This window comes from Homo sapiens, chromosome 11, assembly GCF_000001405.40.
Source record: "Homo sapiens chromosome 11, GRCh38.p14 Primary Assembly".
NCBI classification, from domain to species: domain Eukaryota; kingdom Metazoa; phylum Chordata; class Mammalia; order Primates; family Hominidae; genus Homo; species Homo sapiens.
Window position 1 is genome coordinate 62933758 of NC_000011.10, and position 22571 is coordinate 62956328.

Sequence of the window (22571 nt, forward strand, 5' to 3'; positions counted from 1 at the left end):
TGGGATCAGGGCAAGGAAGCGGGGTGGGTCTGGAGACTGAATCTAGCACCTGTCCAGTACCTGTGTGTTGGGTTAGCCTTAGCATGGTTGCCCCCTTCCCCTGCAGGGCCAGGTGTGGGTCATGCCAGCCCTCTTCCTCCTCTCCTTGGGGCTGGGACAGTGCATGCCTGTCTCTGGATGTGGCTGGAGTCAGGCTCCTAGGACCAGGGCAGGGTCTCATTAGCCCAGAGCAGGCCTTGGGTGGGCAGATGGACCTGATGAATGGTTAACTGTTGCGCTGGGCAGCCACAGCTTGCATCCCACCCCACTCTGGCCACTCTGCAGTCCCTGCCAGAGCACCTCATGGCCTGCACCCTCAGGTCCTTCCTGATGTGAGCAGCAGAACAGGCACTGGGCATCCTGGGTTCTGTCCTGGACTGCACATCGTGGCTGTCCTTCATCCTGCTCATGTGGTCTCCCCAGTGCCATCAGCACTGGCTCCTACCAGCCCAGGAAGGGCAGGGAGGGGTTGGGGAGGAGGCAAGACCTGAGGATGGAGGATGGAGGAGATCAGACCTCAGGCACTCTCCCGGCTGTTTTTCCTTCTGGGGCCTCACTACTGCCAGCCTAGGGCTCTCTAGAGGCAGATTACCGAAAAGTCCAGAAGTGCTACAGAAAAGTCCAAAAGTGCAACAGAAAAGCTAAGGTTAGCTGGGGGGTTGAACTTCCTGGGCAAAGGCCCAGATGTAAGGTGGCAAACTGCTCCTGCAGCCAGGATCTGGCCTAGGGAGGAGGGGCTATTGCCCCCTCCCTCTGCATTCTTCTCTCCTTTCTTCTTACCTCCTGTTTCCAGATGTTTGCACCTGCCTCAGGGAGGGGAAGAGCCTCAAACAAAGCCTCCTTATTGGCTGCCTTCATTTTAGTTCCTTTTACCCTTCCAGGAAAGACTGAAGTGGGAGGAGGAGGAGCAAAGACACATAACGTTTTTCTCTATCACCAAAAGAAAACCTTTAAGGGAGCAGAGAAAATGGCAAGAAAGGTAAGGAGTAAGGGGTGTGTGTGTGTGTCTGTGTGTGTGTGTGTGTGTGTGTGTGTATACACATCCCTGAATTCTGCCAAGCCAACTCTCCAGGTTCAAGTGTATCTCCTAGCCTTCCTCACCTTGAGGATAATGCTATTACTTACCTTATAGGTTATTGAGGGTTTTGATATGTATAATGTCATGTATCTACCATTATAGTACCATAAAGAATAGTTTCAGTGCCCTAAAAAATCCCTCGTGCTGGCTTGCTCATCTCTCTCCTCTCCCTCTGAACCCCTGGCAACCACTGATCTTTTTGCTGTCTCCTTATATTTTTTGATGCTATTGTAAATGGCATTGTTTTTTAAATTTCAATTTCTGATTGTTTATTGCTAGTATATAGAAACACAATTTTTTTTTTTTTTTGAGACGGAGTCTCACTCTGTTGCCTAGGATGCAGTGCAGTGGTGTGATCTTGGCTCACCACAACCTCCGCCTCCCGGGTTCGAGTGATTCTTGTGCCTCGGCCTCCTGAGTAGCTGGGATTACAGGCATGCGCCACCACACCCAGCTAATTTTTGTATTTTTAGTAGAGACGGGGTTTCACCATGTTGGCTAGGCTGGTCTCGAACTCCTGATCTCAGGTGATTCATCCACCTTGGCCTTCCAAAGTGCTGGGATTACAGGCATGAGCTACTGCGCCTGGCCACAATTCTTTTTGTTTTGTTTTTTTTGAGATGGAGTCTCACTCTGCCACCCAAGCTGGAGTGCAGTGGTGTGATCTCGGCTCACTGCAACCTTTGCCTCCTGGGTTCAAGCGATTCTTCTGCCTCAGCCTCCCGAGCAGCTGGGACTACAGGCGTGAGCCACCATGCCTCGCTAATTTTTGTATTTTTAGTAGAGATGGAGTTTCACCATATTGGCCAGGCTGGTCTTGAACTCCTGACCTCATGATCTGCCCACCTCAGCCTCCCAAAGTGCTGGGATTACAGGCGTGAGCCACCGTGCCTGCCCACAATTCCTTTTTTATATTGATCTTATAACCTGCAACCTTGCTAAAATCATGTTTTAGTTGTAGCAGTATTTTTGTAGATTCCACTGGATTTTCTACATAGATAATCACTGAAGGACATTTTGAACCAAAGGTTGACTAATGTGAAGTGGCCACTATGTATGGGCCGGAGGGGAACAATGGGATAAATTGTGCATTTTTTTTTTTTTTTAAGAGACAGGGTCTTGCTGTGCTGCCCATGCTGGAGAGCAGTGGCTGTTCACAGGTGTGATCCCACTACTGATCAGCTCTGTTTCTGACCTGGGGCAGTTCATCCCTCCTTAGGCAACCTGGTGGTCCCCTGCTTGGAGGAGGTCATCATGCCGAGCTTAGTGCAGACACCCCATCAGCATAGTGCTTAGAACTCCTGGGCCCAAGAGATCCTCCTGTCTCAGCCTCCCAAGTAGCTGGGACTAGAGGCCTGGCTCCATAGTTACTTTTAATAAAGTGGTCTTGGGTGGGTCTGGCCAGGAGTGTAGGGCCCATGGGAAGCATTTCTCTGAGACCTTACAGGCCCTGCCCTCTACTGGCTGCCATTTCTGCATCCACCTCCTGGCATGGATATCCAAGAGATACAGGGCTCCTCCTCTCCACCCTCTGCTCCTTCTCAGTCCTCAGGAGGCTTGGAGTGGGACCATCTGCTGTTCCTGTTGCTGCTGCCCCAGTTTCTCTTTCCACCTGGGAGGGAAGGAGAAGCAGCGTTCAGGAGTAGAGTTGGGGGTTTCTTTTTAGGTGTCTGTGCTCAGTTGTCCTACTTTATATCCAAAGCCACCCACTATTTCCAAGAGCTGAGAGTCTCAGGGAGGTTTCCTGGGACTCAGCCAATGTGTGAGAATAGGATTCAGGGGGCCTGGATTTCAGCCTTGACTCCATCAGGGACCAGCTGCATGACCCTGGCTAAGTCCCTGCTCTCCTGTGGTCTGGCCTTTTATGACAAAAGAAGCTTGGGGGAGGGTGCAGCCCACCTTCTCTCCAGGTCCTTCACCTTTTCACCATGTTGGGCAGTGGCTGGCCAAGGGTCTCTGGCAGGAGGACAGTGATGATACTGGCAGCCACAGGGACCACACTATAGATAAATAGAGGCAGAGAAGGGTAGAACTCAGCAGCCATGTCCACCAGTAGGCTTAGGATGGTGCCACCATTGGTCACAGTTGTTGTCATGCTCAGACCCCTCTGCCTATGGGAAGGAGGAGCACCTTGGTGAGGACCGTGGGACTTGTGGGTGCCCTTACACTGCCTGCCACCCTGGCTTCCTCTTTTCACATTTGCTACAGGGTCAAATGATTGCATTTAATTTAGCTAAAACGAAAGGGGGAGCAAATGATTTTGGACCTGAGAAGTCTAGGTTCCAGTTCTAATCTGAATTTACTGTGTGACTGTGAACAAATTCTCAACCAACCTGTCTCTCCAGCTCCAGGCTACATATCAAGCTACTCTACATCTTCATTTGGATGTCTAAAAGGCCTCTCAAATTTTATATGGTCAAGGAACTCTTTATTTCTTCCTCCAAGCTTGCTCCTCCCCCAGACTTCCCCATCTTAGTAAATGGCACTTCTAACCACCTACTTGCTCAAGCTCAAGTATCTAGGAATTATCCTTGATGCCTCCTGTTCCCTTATTTTTCTACATCCAAAATAGAAATTTGGATAGCTGTTCCTCCCAAACTCACACAGGGTTAGTTCCCTTCTCTCTATCTCTACAACCTCTGTCCACCACTGATATGGTTTGGGTATGTCCCCACCCAAATCTCATCTTGAATTGTAACTCTCATAATTCCCATGTGTCATGGGAGGAACCCAGTGGGAGGTAATTGAATCATGGGGGCGGGTCTTTCCTGTGCTGTCTTTATGAGAGTGAATAAGCCTTACCAGATCTGATGGTTTTAAAAACATGAGTTTCCCTGCACAAGCTCTCTTTTTGACTGCTGTCATCCATGTAAGACATGACTTGCTCTTCCTTGCCTTCCACGATGATTATGAGGCCTCCCCAGCCATGTGTAACTGTAAGTCCATTAAACCTCTTTCTTTTGTAAATTGCCCAGTCTTGGCTATGTCTTTATCAGCAGCATGAAAATCAACTAACACAAACATGTCACTTCAAGTGATTTTCACCTCTTGCCTGTACTATTGCAGTAGCCTCCTGACAGTTCTTCCCATTTCTACTGTTGGCCTTGACCCTGACTCCCTGGCCCCACCCCATTCTCTATGCAGAAGCCAAAGTGTTCTCTTAAAAATTAAAACCATAATTCAGATCATTTCACCCTCTGCTTAAAACCATCCAGTGATGTCCCATTGTATTACTAGAATACAATCTGACCTTCTTTTTTTTTTTTTTGAGATGGAGTCTTGCTTTGTCACCCAGGTTGGAGTGCAGTGGTGTGATCTTGGCTCACTGCAACCTCCATCTCCTGGGTTCATGCAATTCTCCTGCCTCAGCCTCCCGAGTAGCTGGGATTACAGGCATGCGCCACCATGCCTGGCTAATTTTTTTTTTTTTTTTTGAGATGAAGTCTCGCTCTGTTGCCCAGGCTGGAGTGCAGTGGTGTGATCTCAGCTCACTGCAAGCTCCGCCTTCTGGGTTCACACCATTCTCCTGCCTCAGCCTCCTGAGTAGCTGGGACTATAGGTGCCCACCACTACGCCTGGCTAATTTTTTTTTGTATTTTTAGTAGAGATGGGGTTTCACCGTGTTAGCCAGGATGGTCTCGATCTCCTGACCTCGTGATCTGCCCGCCTTGGCCTCCCAAAGTGCTGGGATTACAGGCGTGAGCCCCCATGCCCAGCCAATTTTTGTATTTTTAGTAGAGACAGGGTTTCACCATACTGGTCAGGCTGGTCTTGAACTCCTGACCTCAAGTGATCCACCCACCTCAGCCTCCCAAAGTGCTGGGATTACAGGCATAAGCCACCACGCCCGGCCAATCTGACCTTCTTATAAGTCCTTATATGACTGGTCTCTGCCTGCCTCTTCTCTTATCTTGTGCCCTGTCCCTTTGTTTACACATTAAAACCATCAGACTTGGTCTTTTTTTTTGGGAGTCGACGGCTTGCTCTGTCACCCAGGCTGGAGTGCAGTGGTGCGATCTCGGCTCACTGCAACCTGCACCTCCTGGGTTCAAGCAATTCTCCCTGCCTCAGCCTCCCATGTAGCTGGGATTACAGGCACCCGCCGCCATGCCTGGCTAATTTTCGTATTTTTAGTAGAGACGGGGTTTTGACATGTTGGCCGGGCTGGTCTCAAACTCCTGGACTGAAGTGATCTGCCTGTCTCGGCCTCCCAAAGTGCTGGGATTACAGATGTCAGCCACCGTGCCCAGCCCAGACTTGATCTTTAACTTGGTTTTTACTTTTGATCTTTACTGAGGAGACTTTCCTGATTGCTCTGATCATTTTATCTAAACTAGCTATCTGATGGTTCCTTCTCTGCAGTTCTCTTTTAACGTCAGGTGCAGAGGGTTGAATTAATCATACTCCTCATTTCATGACCCTCTATTTTTGTCTTTGCAATGGCCCCTTGTTTTACCCTTTAATGTTTATTCCCCTTTATCACCATTACCCACTTCTAATTCCCTTCCTGCCAAAGTCAACTAGTGTCTTGTGTTTGATGTGCACTCTTTTATTTGTATATGTTCTTGTAAAATGTGTACTGTTGGCTGGGCTCGGTGGCTCATGCCTGTAATCCCAGCACTTTGGGAGGCCGAGATGGGCGGAACACTTGAGGTCAGGAGTTCGAGACCAGCCTGGCTAACATGGTGAAACCCCGTCTCTACTAAAAATACAAAAATTAGCTGGGTATGGTGGTGTGTGCCTGTAATCCCAGCTACTCAGGAGGCTGAGGCAGGAGAATCACTTGAACCTGGGGGGCAGAGGTTGCAGTGAACCGAGATCACGCTACTGCACTCCAGCCTGGGCAACCAGCAAGACTCCGTCTCAAAAAAAAAATGTATATTGTTTTGTGTGCAAATATTTTAATTTGCCTAAGTGGTATAGGCAATAGATCTTATTCTATTTTTCATTCCATTCAGCACTTTGTTTTAAAGAGATTTTATGGTGTTTACCTGCTGCTGCATACTATGCCATGGTGTGCCGGTCTCCACATTTTACCTAAACACTCATTCCCCCGGCTATGGGGATCTAGATTGTTGCCAACACCCATGACCTCAAACAATACTGCAGTGAATGTCCTTGTACACGTCTCCATAAGGGCCTTTGTGAGAAGTTCTCTGAGATACAGGCCCAAGAAGGGAATTACTGGTGTGTGTGTGTGTGTGTGTGTGTGTGTGTGTGTGTGTTCGTGGGTGTGAATGCTGCCAATTGCTTTCCAGAATGGTGGTACCAATTTCACTCCCACCAGCAGTGCATTTGAGACGTGAGGATATAGGGGTCCTGTATTCTAACATGGCCTGTAACACCTGCCATTACCTGGCTTTCTAATGCTGCCAGTTTAATGGCTGTAAAGTGCTATCTCATTTTTCTTTTTCTTTTTCTTTTTTTTTTTGAGATGGAGTCTTGCTTTGTCACCAGGCTGGAGTGCAGTCGTGCGATCTCGGTTCACTGCAACCTCTGCCTCCCGGGTTCAGGCGATTCTCCTGCCTCAGCCTCCTGTGTAGCTGGGACTACAGGCATGTGCCACCATGCCCAGCTAATTTTTGTATTTTTAGTAGAGATGCGGTTTCACTATGTTGGCCAGGATGGTCTCAATCTCTTGACCTCGTGATTCGCCCGCCTCAGCCTCCTAAAGTGCCGGGATTACAGGCGTGAGCCACCGCACCCAGCCACTATCTCATTTTTCACGTGGTGATTAATCTTCTGGATTTCTTTCTCTGTAAAATGTCTATTCATTTTCTTTGCCCATGTGTCTACTACTAGTGTTCCTTTCTTTTTCTTGTCGAAGGAGTCTTGTCAGTGTTAAAGGCGCAGAGGCTCATACCTGTAATCTCAGCACTTCAGGAGGCCAAGACGGGTGGATCGTTTGAGCTCACGAGTTTGAGACCAGCCTGGGCAGCATGGCAAAACCCTGTCTCTACAAAAAATACAAAAATTAGCTGGGCGTGGTGGTAAGCGCCTATAGTCCCAGCTACTCAGGAGGCAGAGGTGGGAGGATGGCTTGAGCCCGGGTGGTGGAAGTTGCCGTGAGCCGAGATTGCACCACTACACTCCACCCTGGGCAATAGAGCCAGACCTTGTCTCGAAAAAAAAAAAAAAAAAAAAAAAGAGTTGCAAATCTCTCCTCTCAATCTGTCATCTATCTGTTAAATTTGTCCATTGTGTCCTTCAGTAAGCAGAAATCCTTTTTGATATAATCAAATTTACATATTTACATGTCTATCTCCAAGCTCTCTTCTCAATTCTGTTTCTTCTTGCATCAAGAAAAGCTGCAAACAAATTTAACAGGGTGTCCTTTGTTAATTCCCTAATGAGATATATCTTTTGGTGCTATTCTGAGTGGTGTCTTACTTTTCAAAACAATATTTTCTAGATTATTGATTCTAAGCTATTGCTATTGATATTTTGGTAATTTGATTTTGTATCTAGCATCCTTGCAGAACTCTCTTATTAGTTTTAATTGTTTGTTGATTTTGTTCATTTATCTAGGTAGATGAACATATTCCAAGTAATGAGATTTTTAGAACATATTCTAAGTAATGAGATTTTTAACTTTTCTTTTTTAATTTTTAATTTTCTTATATCTTTTTCTTTCCTACTAGAGTGGTATTGGTCAGGCCCCCGAATACTGTGTTAAATAGTTGATTCTGATGCTGAAGAGAATGCATATACATTTTCTCATTATATATAGTGTTTGGTTTTGTGTTCAGATGCTCTGCTTACCTCTCTGGGTTTGCACTTTTCCTTAGATGATTGGCCTAGATTTTCCTTACTATCTTCTTTCTTTTTTTTTTTTTCTGAGACAAAGTTTCACTCTGTTGCTCCAGCTGGAGTACAGTGGCATGATCTTGGTTCACTGCAGCCTCAACCTTCTGGGGTCAAGTGATCCTTCGCTCCTCAACTTCCTGAGTAGCTGGGACTACAGCCACATGCCATCACACCTAGCTAATTTCTGTATTTTTTGTAGAGATGGGTTTTCGCCATGTTGGTCTTGAACTCCTGGGCTCAAGCAGTTTGCCCACCTCTGCCTCCCAAAGGCATTACAGGTGTGACCTGCCACACCCGGCCCCATTTTCCTTACTATCTTTCTAGCTCTTTGGTGCTTTTTTTTTTTTTTTTTTTTTTTTTTTTTGAGATGGAGTCTTGCTCTGTCACCCAGGCTGGAGTATAGTGGTGCAATCTCGGCTCATTGCAACCTCCACTTCTCGGGTTGAAGCGATTCTCCTGCCTTGAGTAGCTGGGATTACAGGCGCATGCCACCACACCCAGCTAATTTTTGTATTTTTAGTAGAGACGGGGTTTCACCATGTTGGCCAGGCTGGTCTCGAGCTCCTGACCTTGTGATCTGCCCACCTCGGCCTCCCAAAGTGCTGGGATTACAGGCATGAGCCACCACGCCCGGCTGCTTTTTGGTGCTTTTAAGGTTATCTTTTCCTTACTATCTTTCTAGCTCCTTGGTGCTTTTAAGGTTATTTAAAAATATACCTTTTTTTGGGATGATTTTCGGTGTAATTTTGTTATTTTAATGGAAATAGAAATCCTTTTTCTAATCAATTTCCAGAAATTCTTTATAAATTCTGAATACAAATCCTTGGAAATTCTGTCTTTTACTCTTTTCACCTTATATATAGTAAAACAGATGACCCAAATTAAAACACTTTAAAGTAGAAAAATTTATCAATTTTTTTTTTTGCTACCACTTTTTATGTCTTAAATTCTCCTCCCTTCAGCAGGAATTCATTTGTGTTTAAGGTTGGAATATGGATTGCATTTTATTTCTTTCCTATGTGGGTAAATACACATCCTGGTACTACTTATTGAATAGCCCGTGTTTTAGCTAGTGATCTGCAGTGCCTCCTCTGTCACTTCCCAAGTTCCTTTTTTTTTTTTTTTAATCTTTTTCTGAGATGGAGTCCTGCTCTGTCACCCAGGCTGGAGTGCTGATCTGATCTCAGCTCACTGCCACCTCCACCTGCCAGGTTCAAGCAATTCTCCTGCCTCAGCCTCCCGAGTAGCTGCGATTACAAGCGCCCACCACCACGCCCAGCTAATTTTTTTTTTTTTGTATTTTTAGTAGAGACGGGTTTTCACTATGTTGGCCAGGCTGTTCTCGAACTCCTGACCTTGTGATCCACCCACCTTGGCCTCCCAAAGTGCTGGGATTACAGGCGTGAGCCACAGCGCCTGGCCTCAAGTTTCTTCTATGTGTGGGTCTGTTTTTGGGTTTGATCTTCTCCACTGGCCTATTTTGTTTTTCCTGCACCATCATCTACTGTCTTAATCACTACAGTGATAAAGTAAGAGTTTATAATATGTACTAACTTCTGGTAGGGCAATTTTTTCTTCCTTGTTCTTTCTAAAAAGAGCATCTTAGTTCCACTTGGCCCTTAGCACTTTTATGTAAATTTTAGAATTTGCTTAGCCAGTTTCTTGAGTATGGCCAATGGGATTTTGATCAGAATTGCATTGAATTTATAGGCCGGGTGTGGTGGCTCACGCCTGTAATCCCAGCACTTTGGAAGGCTGAGGTGCGCAGATCACCTGAGGTCAGGAGTTTAAGACAAGCCTGGCAAACATGGCAAAACCCCGTCTCTACTAAAAATACAAAAATTAGCTGGGTGTGGTGGTGTGCACCTGTAATCCCAGCTACTCAGGAGGCTGAGGTAGGAGAATTGCTTGAACCCAGGAGGCAGAGGTTACAGTGAGCTGAGATCGTGCCACTGCACTCCAGACTGGGCAACAGAGCAAGACTCCATCTCAAAAAAGAAAAAAAAAAAATTCGACCCTATCAGGTACTGTGCTCACTATCCGGGTGACAAAATCATTTGTACACCAAACCCCAGTGCCATGCAATTTACCTATATAGCAAACCTGCACATGAACCCCCAAACCTGAAATAAAAATTAGAAGAAAAAAATACTACCTCACACCCACTAGGAATGGCTATAATAAAAACATCAGATAGTAATGAGTGTTGGTCAGGATATAGAACCCTCATACATGCTGATTGTGGGTAGCCACTTTGGAAAACAGTCTGGCAGTTTCTCAAAAAGTTAAAGATACTGTTACCCAATGGACTCAGTAATTTCACTTCAATCTATACCTAAGAGAAATGAAAACATATGCCTATGCAAAAACGTGTACAGAAATGTTCATAGCAGCATTATTTATAATAGCTAAAAGGTATAAACAGCTCAGATGTTTATCAACTGATAAATGGATGAACAAAATTGGTATTTCCACATAATGGAATATTACTCAGTTATAAAATTGAATGAAGTACTGATACATGCTACAACATGAATGAACTTTGAAACATTATGCTAAAAGAGGCCAGTCATAAAAGACTACATAGTATATGATTCCATTTATATGAAATGTCCAAAAAAGACAAATCTATAGAGATAGAAAATGGGTTAGTGGGGCCAGGCACGGTGGCTCATGCCTGTAATCCCAGCACTTTGGGAGGCTGAGGTGGATGGATCACCTGAGGTCAGGAGTTCGAGACCAGCCTGGCCAACATGGTGAAACCCCGTCTCTACTAAAAATACAAAATTAGCCAGGCATGGTGGCAGGTGCCTGTATCCCAGCTACTTGGGAGGCTGAGGCAGGGGAATCGCTTGAACCCAGGAGGCGGAGGTTGCAGTGAGCTCAGATCATGCCATTGCACTCCAGCCTGGGCGAAAAGAGTGAAACTCCATATCAAAAAAAAAAAAAAAAAAAAAAAAAAAAGGATTACTGGTTGCTTAGGATTGGGTAGGGGATAGAGATGAATGTTTGGGGATTGAAAACTAAAGGATACAGATTTTCTGTTTGAGGGGATGAAAGTGTTCTAAAATTTACTGTGGTGACAGTTGTACATATCTATGAGCATACTAAATACCATTCAATTGTATACTCGAAATGGATAACTTGTATGGTATGTGAATTACACATAAATAAAGCTGTTATGAAATAAATTATTCACTGTTATTTGAAATTCAAAAATATTAAATTCATCAGCATAGACTTGTTCATAGATTTTTTGCATCTTTTTAATGACTCTAAGTCTTTAGTTCTGTTTTTTTATTCATAATATTTGCTTATGTCCTCTATCCTTCATTTTTTGATTATTGTTACCCAAGATTTGTCCATTTCATTGATATTATTAAAGACCAACTTTTTGTTTTGTTGAGCTTCTATATTATATCTTAGTTTTCTATTTAATTTATTTATGGTATTATTGTTATTGTTGATGTTGTTGTTTTACAACTAAGGTAACTGAGCATTTGGACCAAAAACTTTGGCTCCAGAGCCAGATTCTTAACCATTGCATCTTTTTTTTGGTCTTAAAGTTTATTTGGACTACTATTAGTGTGGCTAATCAGCTTTCTTCTGGTTAATATTTGTCTGCTATATCTTTTTCCATCTCTCTACATTTAACATTTATATATACAAAACTTTAGATGAGTTTCTTGTAAATAGCATGAACTAGATTTTTTTTTTTTTTTTTTTTGAGACGGAGTCTCGCTGTGTTGCCTGGGCTGGAGTGCAGTGGCACGATCTCCGCTCACTGCAAGCTCCGCCTCCCGGGTTCACACCATTCTCCTGCCTCAGCCTCCCGAGTAGCTGGGACTACAGGAGCCTGCCATCATGCCCGGCTAATTTTTTTTTGTATGTTTTTAGTAGAGACGGGGTTTCACTGTGTTAGCCAGGATGGTCTTGATCTCCTGATCTCGTGATCCGCCCGCCTTGGCCTCCCAAAGTGTTGGGATTACAGGCATGAGCCACTGCGCCCGGCCGCATGAACTAGATTTAAAAAAAATGTTACCTGGAGTATCTTTGCCGTTGAATTGGTAAATTTAATTCATTTACATTTATTGCGGTGACTGAGATGTTTGGAGTTATTGATACCATCTTACCTTTTGTCTTTTATTTACCTTGATTTTCATGTTTTTGTCCTCTTTTCTTGCCTTAAAAAATAGTTGATTGACCTTTGTGCCCTTTCCAACTTGAAATCTGCTCTAGGGCCTGATTGTCCTATCCCAGGATCCCTCCCCAAAACCTCACTCACTATATTATTATAGGCATAGTTCTCTTGCATAGATGAAGATGCAGTTCGTAGATCCAGTAGCATAGTCTTTTCTTAACATGACCGTTGTAATGCAGAGGAATAACTGATATGGAAGGGAACAAAGATGATGGCAAGGTGCTAGGAAAAGTTTGAAGGAATCTTGGGTCTTTTCCACCCTTCTAGGTAGCTGGCCTGGGGCAGATTTGGGTCTGGGTCTGGGAAAGAATTAGGACAGGAGCAGAGGTGCGGCAGATGCTTACTCAGGAGCACCATTGCACAAGCCAGAATATAGATCTCTGAAAGCAGCAAGGAGGCCATTTGGGTAGGCCTGCGGCCCAGAAATCTGGTGACCAAAAAGCCCAGCAAATAAAATAGTGGATTCACAGTTGCAAAGAATACTTGGATCAGGTAGATATTGATTTCCAAACTTTGCAGACTTATGACTGAACTGTAGGAGCTGAAGACGATTACAGACCTGGGGCAGGAGCTGAAGACTATTACAGACCTGGGGCAGGAGCAGAGAGGATGTACTCTGGGTAGGAGCCATGACACATCTACATAGCAATTGCAGCTGGCAAACTACTCTCACATCTCTTCTCTCCTTTAGACCTTACATTAGCCCTGTGCTGTGTGTGAGTGGAGTTTTTAATCTTTCAATTGCAGATAAGAAAATCTTCCCTTAATTCTATTCATTTGTTTCTTTATTGAGACCGTCTCACTCTGTTACCCAGGCTGGAGTGCAGTGGCACGATCTCGGCTCACTGCAACCTCCGCCTCCCGGGTTCAAGTGATTCTCTTGCCTCAGCCTTCTGAGTAGCTAGAATTACAGGTGTGTGCCACTGTGCCTGGCTGATTTTTGTATTTTTAGTAGAGACAGGGTTTCACCATGCTGGCCACGCTGGTCTCAAACTCCTGAGCTCAAGTGATCTGCCTTTCTTGGCCTCCCAAAATGCTGGAATTAGAGGCACGAGCCACGGCACCTGGCCAGAAATTAGGTAACATTTAAAAATTATCTGGGAAAGGGCAGGTGTGGTGGCTAATGCCTGTACTCCCAGCACTTTGGGAGGCTGAGGCAGGTGGACTGCTTGAGGCCAGGAGTTCAAGACCAGCCTGGCCAACATGGCAAAACCCTGTCTCTACTAAAACTACAAAAGGGAAAATTAGCTGGGCATGGTGGAACATGCCTGTAATCCCAGCCATTCAGGAGGGTGAGACACGAGAATTACTTGAGTCCAGGAGGCAGAAGCCACAGTGAGCTGAAATTGCTTGATTGTACTCCAGCCTGGGTAACAGAGGGAGACTGTCCCCCCAAAAAAATTATCTGGGAAAAAATAATATTTTTTGCTTAGCAATAGGTCTCCCTTTTCCCCTCCTAATTCCCCGACCTAAGAGATCAGCTTTTGGTGGATGCTTGCATTTATAAGTTGATTGTACTGGGAAGTTTTGTGTGTGTATGTGTGTGTGTGCGTGTGTCTGTCCCTCCCCACTGGATAGCTCAAGTAACAACTGATCTGATGAACTGATAAATTCTAAGAAGTAAAGATTTATTTAACGGCAGGAGTTTTGCTTTGCTGAGTGACGAATACAAGTTTACAGCTAGACATGAATTTTTAGGACAGTGGAGGAGACCTCAGAGATTAAATGGGAGAAGAGTCAGGAGAGGGAGGAAGCATGTACAGCTGTTAGCCAAGGAAGGATTTGAAGGAGGACAGAAATGCCTATTAAGTTTTTTATGCTGTGTGGTATGTGATATAAGCATCTCCTTTATCTCCCCATGGAGTCTTGGAAAAATCGACAATGTTTAGTGACACTTTGTGGGGAAGCTTTGCTCTGAGATGTGATGTGTTCTGTGTCCTGCCTCAGCCCTGGTGAAGGGCACAGTGAGAAGCTGTCCACAAGAAGACAATCATTTATGCGCCACACTATAATTAAGAATTAAACAGAACACTATTGGCACCAGAATAGACAGACAAATCAATGGGATGAAATAGTCCAGAAATAGTATGTGATAAGCGTGGTGTTTCACACCAGCCAGGAAAGGTGGGACTATTCATTAAGTTCATTTGGGACAATTTACCTTAGTTGTAAAACAACAACAACAATATCAACAATAACGATAATACCATAAATAAATTAAATGGAAAACTAAGATACAATATAGAAGCTCAACAAAACAAAAAGTTAGTCTTTAATAATATCAATGAAATGGACAAATCTTCGGTAACAATAATCAAAAAATGAAGGATAGAGGACATAAGCAAATATTATGAATAAAAAAGAAACAGAACTAAAGACGCAGAGTCATTAAAAAGATGCAGAAAAAATCTATGAACAAGTCTATGCTGATGAATTTAATATTTTTGAATTTCAAATAACAGTGAACACTTTATTTTGTAACAGCCTTATTTATATGTAATTCACATACCATACAAGCCATCCATTTCGAGTATACAATCGAATGATATTTGGTATACTCATAGATATGTACAACCATCACCATGGTAATTTTAGAACACTTTCATCCCCTCAAACAGAAAATCGGTATCCTTTAGCTTTCAATCCCCAAACATTCATCTCTATCCCCTACCCAATCCCAAGCAACCACTAATCCATTTTTTTTTTTGATATGGAGTTTCACTCTTTTTGCCCAGGCTGGAGAAAAAATAGAATTCTACTATAATTCTAATAGAATTTCTAATAGAAAAAAATAGAATTCTACTTCCTACCCTATGTTAAACTAAATTTCAGATGAAACTATGATACAACATGAAAGCTCAAACAAATACATTTGTGCTTGAAGAAAATCTAGGCGAATAGTTTTATACTTACGGGGAGAGGAAGGCCTTTCTAAATGTAACCCAAAACACAGAGGAAGAGGAAGAGGCAGCAAACAGCAGGGTAGCGTACAACTGCAGCACTGAGTGATGGGCTTGGCCTGTGGTCATGGCCTTCTGCAGATTGGCTTGGAGCACCTGCCTGGGTAGATGGAGCTCAGGGCCTGGGTTTCCCCAGGGGCCCTTTACCTCAGTCCCTGCCCTGGGAAGCATGATGTGCTGGATTCTAGGGTGAAGGTGGGGGCAGGCAGAGCCCTGGAGGGGTGTCACACAGGTCTCGGGGTTCTCACCTCCATACTCAGCTTGGTGTCTACTTCCTGCTTTTTACTGATCTGGGCCACTGTCTGTGGGGCCGTCAGGGGGAGGTCCAGCCTTCCACCGAGGGAGTGCTAGCGGGCAGATTGGATGACAAACCTGTGGATGGGGATGGCAGCAGGGCAGGCATGACTTCAGCCTGGGTTGGCAGAGTGTGGCTGCTTGAGGAGGGCACAGATGAGCAGGAAAGCACCTTGGAGGGATGGAAAAAATTCTGGGGTGGGAATTGGGAGTCCTGGGTTCCTTTTTTTTTTTTTTTTTTTGACAGGGTCTTCCTCTGTTGCTCAGGCTGGAGTGCAGTGCCGTGATCTTGGCTCACTGCAACCTCTGACTCCCAGGCTTAAGCCATCCTCCCACCTCAGCCTCCCAAGTAGCTGGGACTACAGGTGCGAGCCACGACATCCAGCTAATTTTTTGTGTGTGTGTTTTTAGTAGAGACAGGGTTTTGTCATGTTGGCCAGGCTGGTCTGGAACTCCTGAGCTCAAGTGATCCATCTGCCTCAGCCTCCCAAATTGCTGGGATTACAGGCATGAGCCACCACACCTGGCCAGGAGTCCTGGGTTCTAATCCAAGGATTGCCACTGTCTTCTTGGGAGACCTCAGGCAGGCTTGGCCAGGCATGATGGGCACCCACACAAGGCCTGGGGAAAATAATCTGTCTCTCCTGGTGGGGAGGAGGATCTTACATTGGGATTAGCACATAAGGAGCGGCTTCCTCCCCTGCTTCACAATCTTTCTCATTATTTCCTGGTGAGAATTATTCAAGTTACTATTTTCTTTCTTTTCTTTTCTTTCCTTTCTTTCTTCTTTTCTTTTCTTTTTTTTTTCCAGGGTCTGACTCTGTTGCCCAGGCTAGAGTGCAGTGGTGCGATCTCAGCTCACCGTAACCTCTGCCTCCCAGGCTCAAGTGATCCTCCACTTCAACCTCCTGAGTAGCTGGGACCACAGCTCACTTACAACTGGATTATTTAAGTGATCCACCCACCTTGGCCTCCCAAAGTGTTAGGATTATAGGCATGAGCCACTGAGCCTGGCCAAGTTATTTTACAGTATGGAAAAGATGGCTTTTGGGCTGCCTGCTCAGTGTATTCTCCTATTCTGAGCACTAACCCCTCATCCTCCTCGGGCCTCCTGAAGTCTTATTTTACCTCCTGAGCCTGTCTCTTCCCAACACAACTGAGGACACCTGACCCCAGGGCTAGACTGAGCTAACGAGAGTCTATATTATGAATTTGGAAATATGGGCCAGGCGCGGTGGCTCACTCCTGTAATCCCAGCACTTTGGGAGGTCAAGGCAGGCGGATCATCTAAGATCAGGAGTTTGAGACCAGCCTGGCCAACATGATGAAACACCGTCTCTACTAAAAATACAAAAATTAGCCAGACATGGTGGTGGGCACCTGTAATCCCAGCTACTTGGGAGGCTGAGACAGGAGAATCGCTTGAACCCAGGAGGTGGAGGTTGCAGTGAGCCAAGATCGTGCCACTGCACTCTAACCTGGGAGACAAAGCAAGACTCCGTGTCAAAAAAAAAAAAAAAAAGGAAATATGGCTCAGAGAAGTGGGATTTGTAAGGACACCCAACGTTGGAGTGGGACCCAAAGTTTGGGCCAATGTGAAAGTAGAGTTGAGAAAACAGGAGAGAGGGAGGAGGAGGAAGAGGAGGTCATGGTGAGAGGGGAGGGTAAAATGAAGTAATCCAGTTAGAGAGAAGTCAGGACCAGGATTCAGTCAGTGCCAGAGGGTAGATGGAGAGTCAAGTTGAGTGGTCTTAGTCCTTCACAAGGCTGGGCTCAAATTCCTGACCCCGTGTTCTGTGAAATACTCTTGCATCCTTCCATTAACTTTTCATTTTTGCATAAGCATATTTGAGAGTTATGGTTATCTGTAACCCTGAATAAACAACAATTGGCACTAAACCAATAACGTAAATTTTCTTGTTCTTTTTTTTTTTTTTTTTTGAGACAGCTTGCTCTGTTGCCCAGATTGGAGTGCCGTGGCATGATCTCAGCTCACTGCAACCTCCGCCTCCCGGGTTCAAGCGATTCTCCTGCCTCAGCCTCCTGAGTAGCTGGGACTACAGGTGCACGCCACCATGCCTGGCGAATATTTGTATTTTTAGTAGAGACGGGGTTTCACCATGTTGGCTAGGCTGGTCTTGAAGTCCTGATGTCAAGTGATCCACCCATCTCAGCCTCCCAAAGTGCTGGGATTACAGGCGTGAGCCACCGCACCCAGTCTGTTGTTCTTTCTTAAAGTAGATTTTATTTTTTAGAGCAGTTTCAGGTTCACAGCAAAATTGGGTGGAAGTTACAGAGATTTCTAATATATTCCCTGTCCCTACATACACACACTCCTCCATTATCAACACCCCTACCAGAGTGGTATTTGTTACAACTGATGAATACATTGAACTCTAAGTCCAGAGTTTACATTAGGGTTCACTCCTGGTGTTGTACATTATATATATATATATATATATATATATATATATATATATACACACACACACATACATACATATATGTATGTATGTATATATATATATGTATGTATGTGTGTATATATATATGTATGTATATATATATGTGTGTATATATGTATGTATATATATGTGTGTATATATGTATGTATATATATATGTGTGTATATATGTATGTATATATATATGTGTATATATATACATATATATATATGTGTGTATATATATATATATATGTGTATATATATATATATATGTGTGTGTATATATATATATATATATATATATATATATATATGTATATATATATATATATCTCAAGCAATTCTCCTGCTTCAGCCTCCCGGGCAGCTGGGACTACAGGTGCGTGCCACCACTCCCGGCTAATTTTTGTATTTTTAGTAGAGATGGGATTTCACCTTGTTGACCAGGCTGGTCTCGAACTCCTGACCTTGTGATCCACCCGCTTTGGCCTTCCAAAGCGCTGGGATTACAGGCGTGAGCCACTGCACCCCGCCCATTCTACATGTTTTGACAAATGAATAATGACATGTATCCACCATCACAGTATCATACAGTAGTTTCACTGCCCTACAAAATCCTCTGTGTTCTATTTGTCTCTTTGTCCCCTCTGAACTCTGGTGATCACTGACCCTTTTACTGTCTCCATAGTTTTGCCTTTTTCAGTTGGGCCTGGTGTAGGGGCTCACATTTGTAATCCTAGCACTTTGGGAGGCTGAGGTGGGAGGATGGCTTGACTCCAAGAGTTTGAGACCAGCCTGGGCAGCATAGTGAGATCGCATCTCTACAAAAAGTGAAAAAAAAATTAGCCAGGTGTGGTGGTGCATGCTTGTAGTGCTAGCTACTTGGGAAGCTGAGGCAGGAGGATCATTTGAGCCTGGGAGTTTGAGGTTACGGTGAGCTATTATCGTCCTACTGCATGCCAGCCTAGGGGAGAGAGTGAGACCCTGTCTCAAAACAAACAACTCCTGCCCCCCTGAAAACAACAAAAAAGCAAAATGTCATATACTTGGACCCATGCAGGCTATAGCCTTTTCAGATTGGCTTTTTTCACTTGGTGATGTACATTTAAGTTTCCCTCAAGATTTTTCATGGCTTGATAGCTCATTTCTTTTTTTTTTCTTTTCTTTTCTTTTTTTTTTTTTTTTTTTAGACGGAGTTTTGCTTTTGTTGCCCAGGCTGGAGTAAAATGGTGTGATCTTGACACACCGCAACCTTCACCTCCCGGGTTCAAGCGATTCTCCTGCCTCAGCTTCCTGAGTAGCTGGGATTACAGGCATGCACCACTACACCTGGCTAATTTTGTACTTTTAGTAGAGACAGGGTTTCTCCAAGTTGGTCAGGCTGGTCTTGAACTCCCGACCTCAGGTGATCTGCCCACCTAGGCCTCCCAAAGTGCTGGGATTACAGGTGTGAGCCACCACACCCGGCCCCCATTTCTTTTTATTGATGAATAATTTTGTTGTTCTTTTAAATTAAGATAAGAAAAAATTCTTGATTTGAAAGTACTTCCTTTGTAACTGGAGTAAAACAGCTCCATACCCTGTAGAAAATCCATAGTGCTGAAGGAGGTACCATTAAAATTAAGTTAAAATGACAAATAGTTGTGGCATTTTCTTTAAAATTAAGAACTCATTTTTGTATTAAATATATGGATTTTTGAATGGATTTTTAAACTGTCATTTCTTTTGTTAACAGAAAAAAGGAAAAGGGACTGGAATGACCAGAATGATTAGGGCATGGCTCTAAAATGTGTTAATATATATCCAAATGAATTCATCCTTCAAGCATAGTTACTTGATAATGTTGATTTTGTCGGCAAGAAATCCTTATTTGTGAATGTAATTATTACTGTGGTATTTTTAGTATCTTGTGGATGCAAATATCACATGATGTAAAATTTGAGATACTGGCATTTGAACACCTTCTCCAAACAGGAATGGCCTTTTTCCCTACTTTATTCTCATAACTGCTATTTTGAGATGGAGTTTCACTCTTGTTGCCCAGGCTGGAGTGCAATGGCGTGGTCTTGGCTCACTGCAACCTCTATCTCCTTGGTTCAAGTGATTCTCCTGCCTCAGCCTCCCAAGTAGCTGGGATTACAGGTGCTTGCCACCATGCCTGGCTAATTTTTGTACTTTTAGTAGAGACGGAGTTTTGCCATGTTGGCCAGGCTGATCTCAAACTCCTGACCTCAGGTGATCCAGCCACTTCGGCCTCCCAAAGTGTTGGGATTATAGGGGTGAGCCACCGTGCCCGGCCACATAACTTTTATTTGAAAGAGATTCTGGGGTAATATCAAAGAAAACTGGGAGTTGATTTGACAGCACTTTAATAGAAATACATGAATGGAGTATGGCTGTGGAGATGCCTGTGGGACACGTCATGGTGAGTGGGATGAGGACAGCCTGGACAGGAACTGAGGAATGAGAAGATAAGAAGCAAGAGAATGTAGGAAAGAGGCAAGAAGTCAGAGGAGTGCAAAGAAAAATCTATATGCAGTTTAACAATGAAATTCTACATGTAGTCCAGATTAACAATTGACTGATGCATAAAAATTACTTAGCAAGAATCTCTCAACCTCTGGTTTGCTCTAAGGTGCTTCTCATCTGCAAAAGCAATAGTTGCATGGGGGCTTGTACCACCTTCGGGTTATTATGGTTTTCACCATTTGAGTTCTCTTCATGTACACCTGAAACCCCTGAGGATCTCATATTTCTGTGTATTCCTGGGCCTCAAGTATAGAGAATTACTTTATCGCTAACAGGAACCAAAACCTAAGAAGAGACAGTGGTGGATTTGAGGGAGACTGAGAATTACTGCCCAGGGCAGCCCTGCACTGCTAACTTGATAAAGGCGGTGATCAGTGACAGATGCTATGAGACTGGCCTCAGAGGAAAGAAAAGGAGGAAAAGAGAAAACAAATGACAGTGGAACCAGGAAGCAGAGAGGTGAAATGGTGCTTGTTATCCATCTGCAATGCGGGAGTGAACAGGAGACTTAGGCTGGGTCATTCATAATAACTCACGCCCCCTGCCCTACAGTCATTGGACTAATGTGTAGGCACATGACTCAGGCCAGCCAATCAGTGTTTCAAAGTTGGAGGTGGGAGATATTTCAAAGTTGGAGGTGGGAGATAGAAACGTTTATTTTCTCTCTCTGGTTTCGAGGTTACTAGGGGTGAGCCCAGAATGGTAAGTGGCCACTGTGTGAAGGATCCCGTGCACAACAGACATGCCCAGCATGGAAAGACAAGCAAAGATGAGAGCACACAAGAATTCTGATGACATGACCCTGGTTCCCAGTGTCCCTAGAGCCAGCTTCACCTCTATCATCCATCTTTGCTTTGGTAATGGGAGCCTTTACACAACCCCTTTATGCTCAAGTTAGCTAGAATTGAATTACAGCCACTTGCAAACAAGAGTCCTAATGAATATAGGTTCAGATAGATGTCGCTAGTTATTGCCCAGTGTATTAGTCTGTTCTCACACTGCTAATAAAGACATACTTGAGACTGGGTAATTTATAAAGAAAAAGAGGTTTAATGGACTCACAGCTTCACATGGCTGGGGAGGCCTCACAATCATGGTGGAAGGTGAAGAAGGAGCAAAGCCATATCTTACGTGGTAGCAGGCAGCCTGGGCAACATAGTGAGACCCTATCTCTATTTAAAAAAAATTTAATTAGCTTGTGCAGGGGAACTCCCATTTATAAAACCATCAGATCTCGTGAGACTTATTCACTACCATAAGAAAAAGTATGGGGGGGGAACTGCCCCATGATTCAATTATCTCCACCTGGCCCTGCCCTTGCCACATGGGGATTATTACAATTCAAGGTGAGATTTAAGTGGGGACACAGCCAAACCATATCACCCAGGGTATTTAATTCAAAATAAAATAACAGGAGGGGTCAGGCAGGGTTTTGTTGTTGCTGCTGTTGTTGTTTTGAGATAGGATATCTCTGTCACCCAGGTTGGAATGCAGTGGCACGATCATAGCTTGTTACTGTAGGTAGCTAGCCAGGCATGAGTGGGGCAGGAGAGGGGTCCCCCCACCCTACCAGCAATGTCAGGCGACCATCAGGTGATGATCAGGCAGTTGTCACACTGCCTCTCTAAAGTAATAATTGGTTGCAGTTATCGCCAGGGAAAGGCAGTTTCACAAAAGATTAAAAACACCTGTAACTGGTGATTGGCAGCTTCTCAACAAGATCTCAGGAGTTGGGCGAGTGAGTTCAAGCGTGCGCATTAAGAGGCAAAATGGCGGAGTTTAACTGGTATATAAACTTCTGGGGGCATTCCACTGGAAAAGGGATGCAAGACGCCAGAAGTAGGCCAGCATATAAGACCCCAAGTCCCATGTCAAAGGGGACACTTGACCTCCAAGGTGTCTGCTTGGTCCTCTTCCAAGTGTGTTTTATTTTCTTTTCATTCCTACTCTAAGGCTTTAAAAAAAACTTTCACTCCTGCTCTAAAACTTGCCTCGGTCTCTTCTGCCTTGTGTCCCTCAGTCGAATTCTTCTGAGGAGGCAAGAACTGACGTTGCTGTAGTAACAAGCTCACTGCAGCCCTGAACTTCTGGGTTCAAGCAATCCTCCTACTTCAGCCTCTCTAGTAACTAGGACTACAGGCATGAACCACCACTCTCAGCTAATTAATTTTTTTTTTTTTAATAGAGATAGAGTCTCACTATGTTGCTCAGGCTGGT

The 22571-nt window shown here is 44.3% G+C and overlaps 1 long non-coding RNA gene and 1 pseudogene across 1 annotated transcript in view, besides 1 other annotated feature; one reads left to right on the forward strand and one right to left on the reverse strand.

Annotated features, from left to right (window-relative positions):
• Positions 1 to 22571, forward strand: part of LOC105369333 (uncharacterized) — a 36169-nt gene extending 13598 nt beyond the window's left edge. The window contains exons 4-5 of the long non-coding RNA XR_002957251.2: positions 921 to 1018; positions 22540 to 22571. This is a non-coding gene — a long non-coding RNA (uncharacterized LOC105369333). The remainder of the gene's footprint in view (positions 1 to 920; positions 1019 to 22539) is intronic.
• Positions 340 to 848: an enhancer, noted in NCBI's record as "H3K4me1 hESC enhancer chr11:62701569-62702077 (GRCh37/hg19 assembly coordinates)". NCBI's record gives its function as "activates a minimal SCP1, AML or CMV promoter by ChIP-STARR-seq in primed H9 embryonic stem cells {active_cell/tissue: H9 hESC(primed)}" and the evidence as "EXISTENCE:reporter gene assay evidence [ECO:0000049][PMID:30033119]".
• On the reverse strand, positions 2225 to 2477 carry RN7SL259P (RNA, 7SL, cytoplasmic 259, pseudogene; annotated as a pseudogene).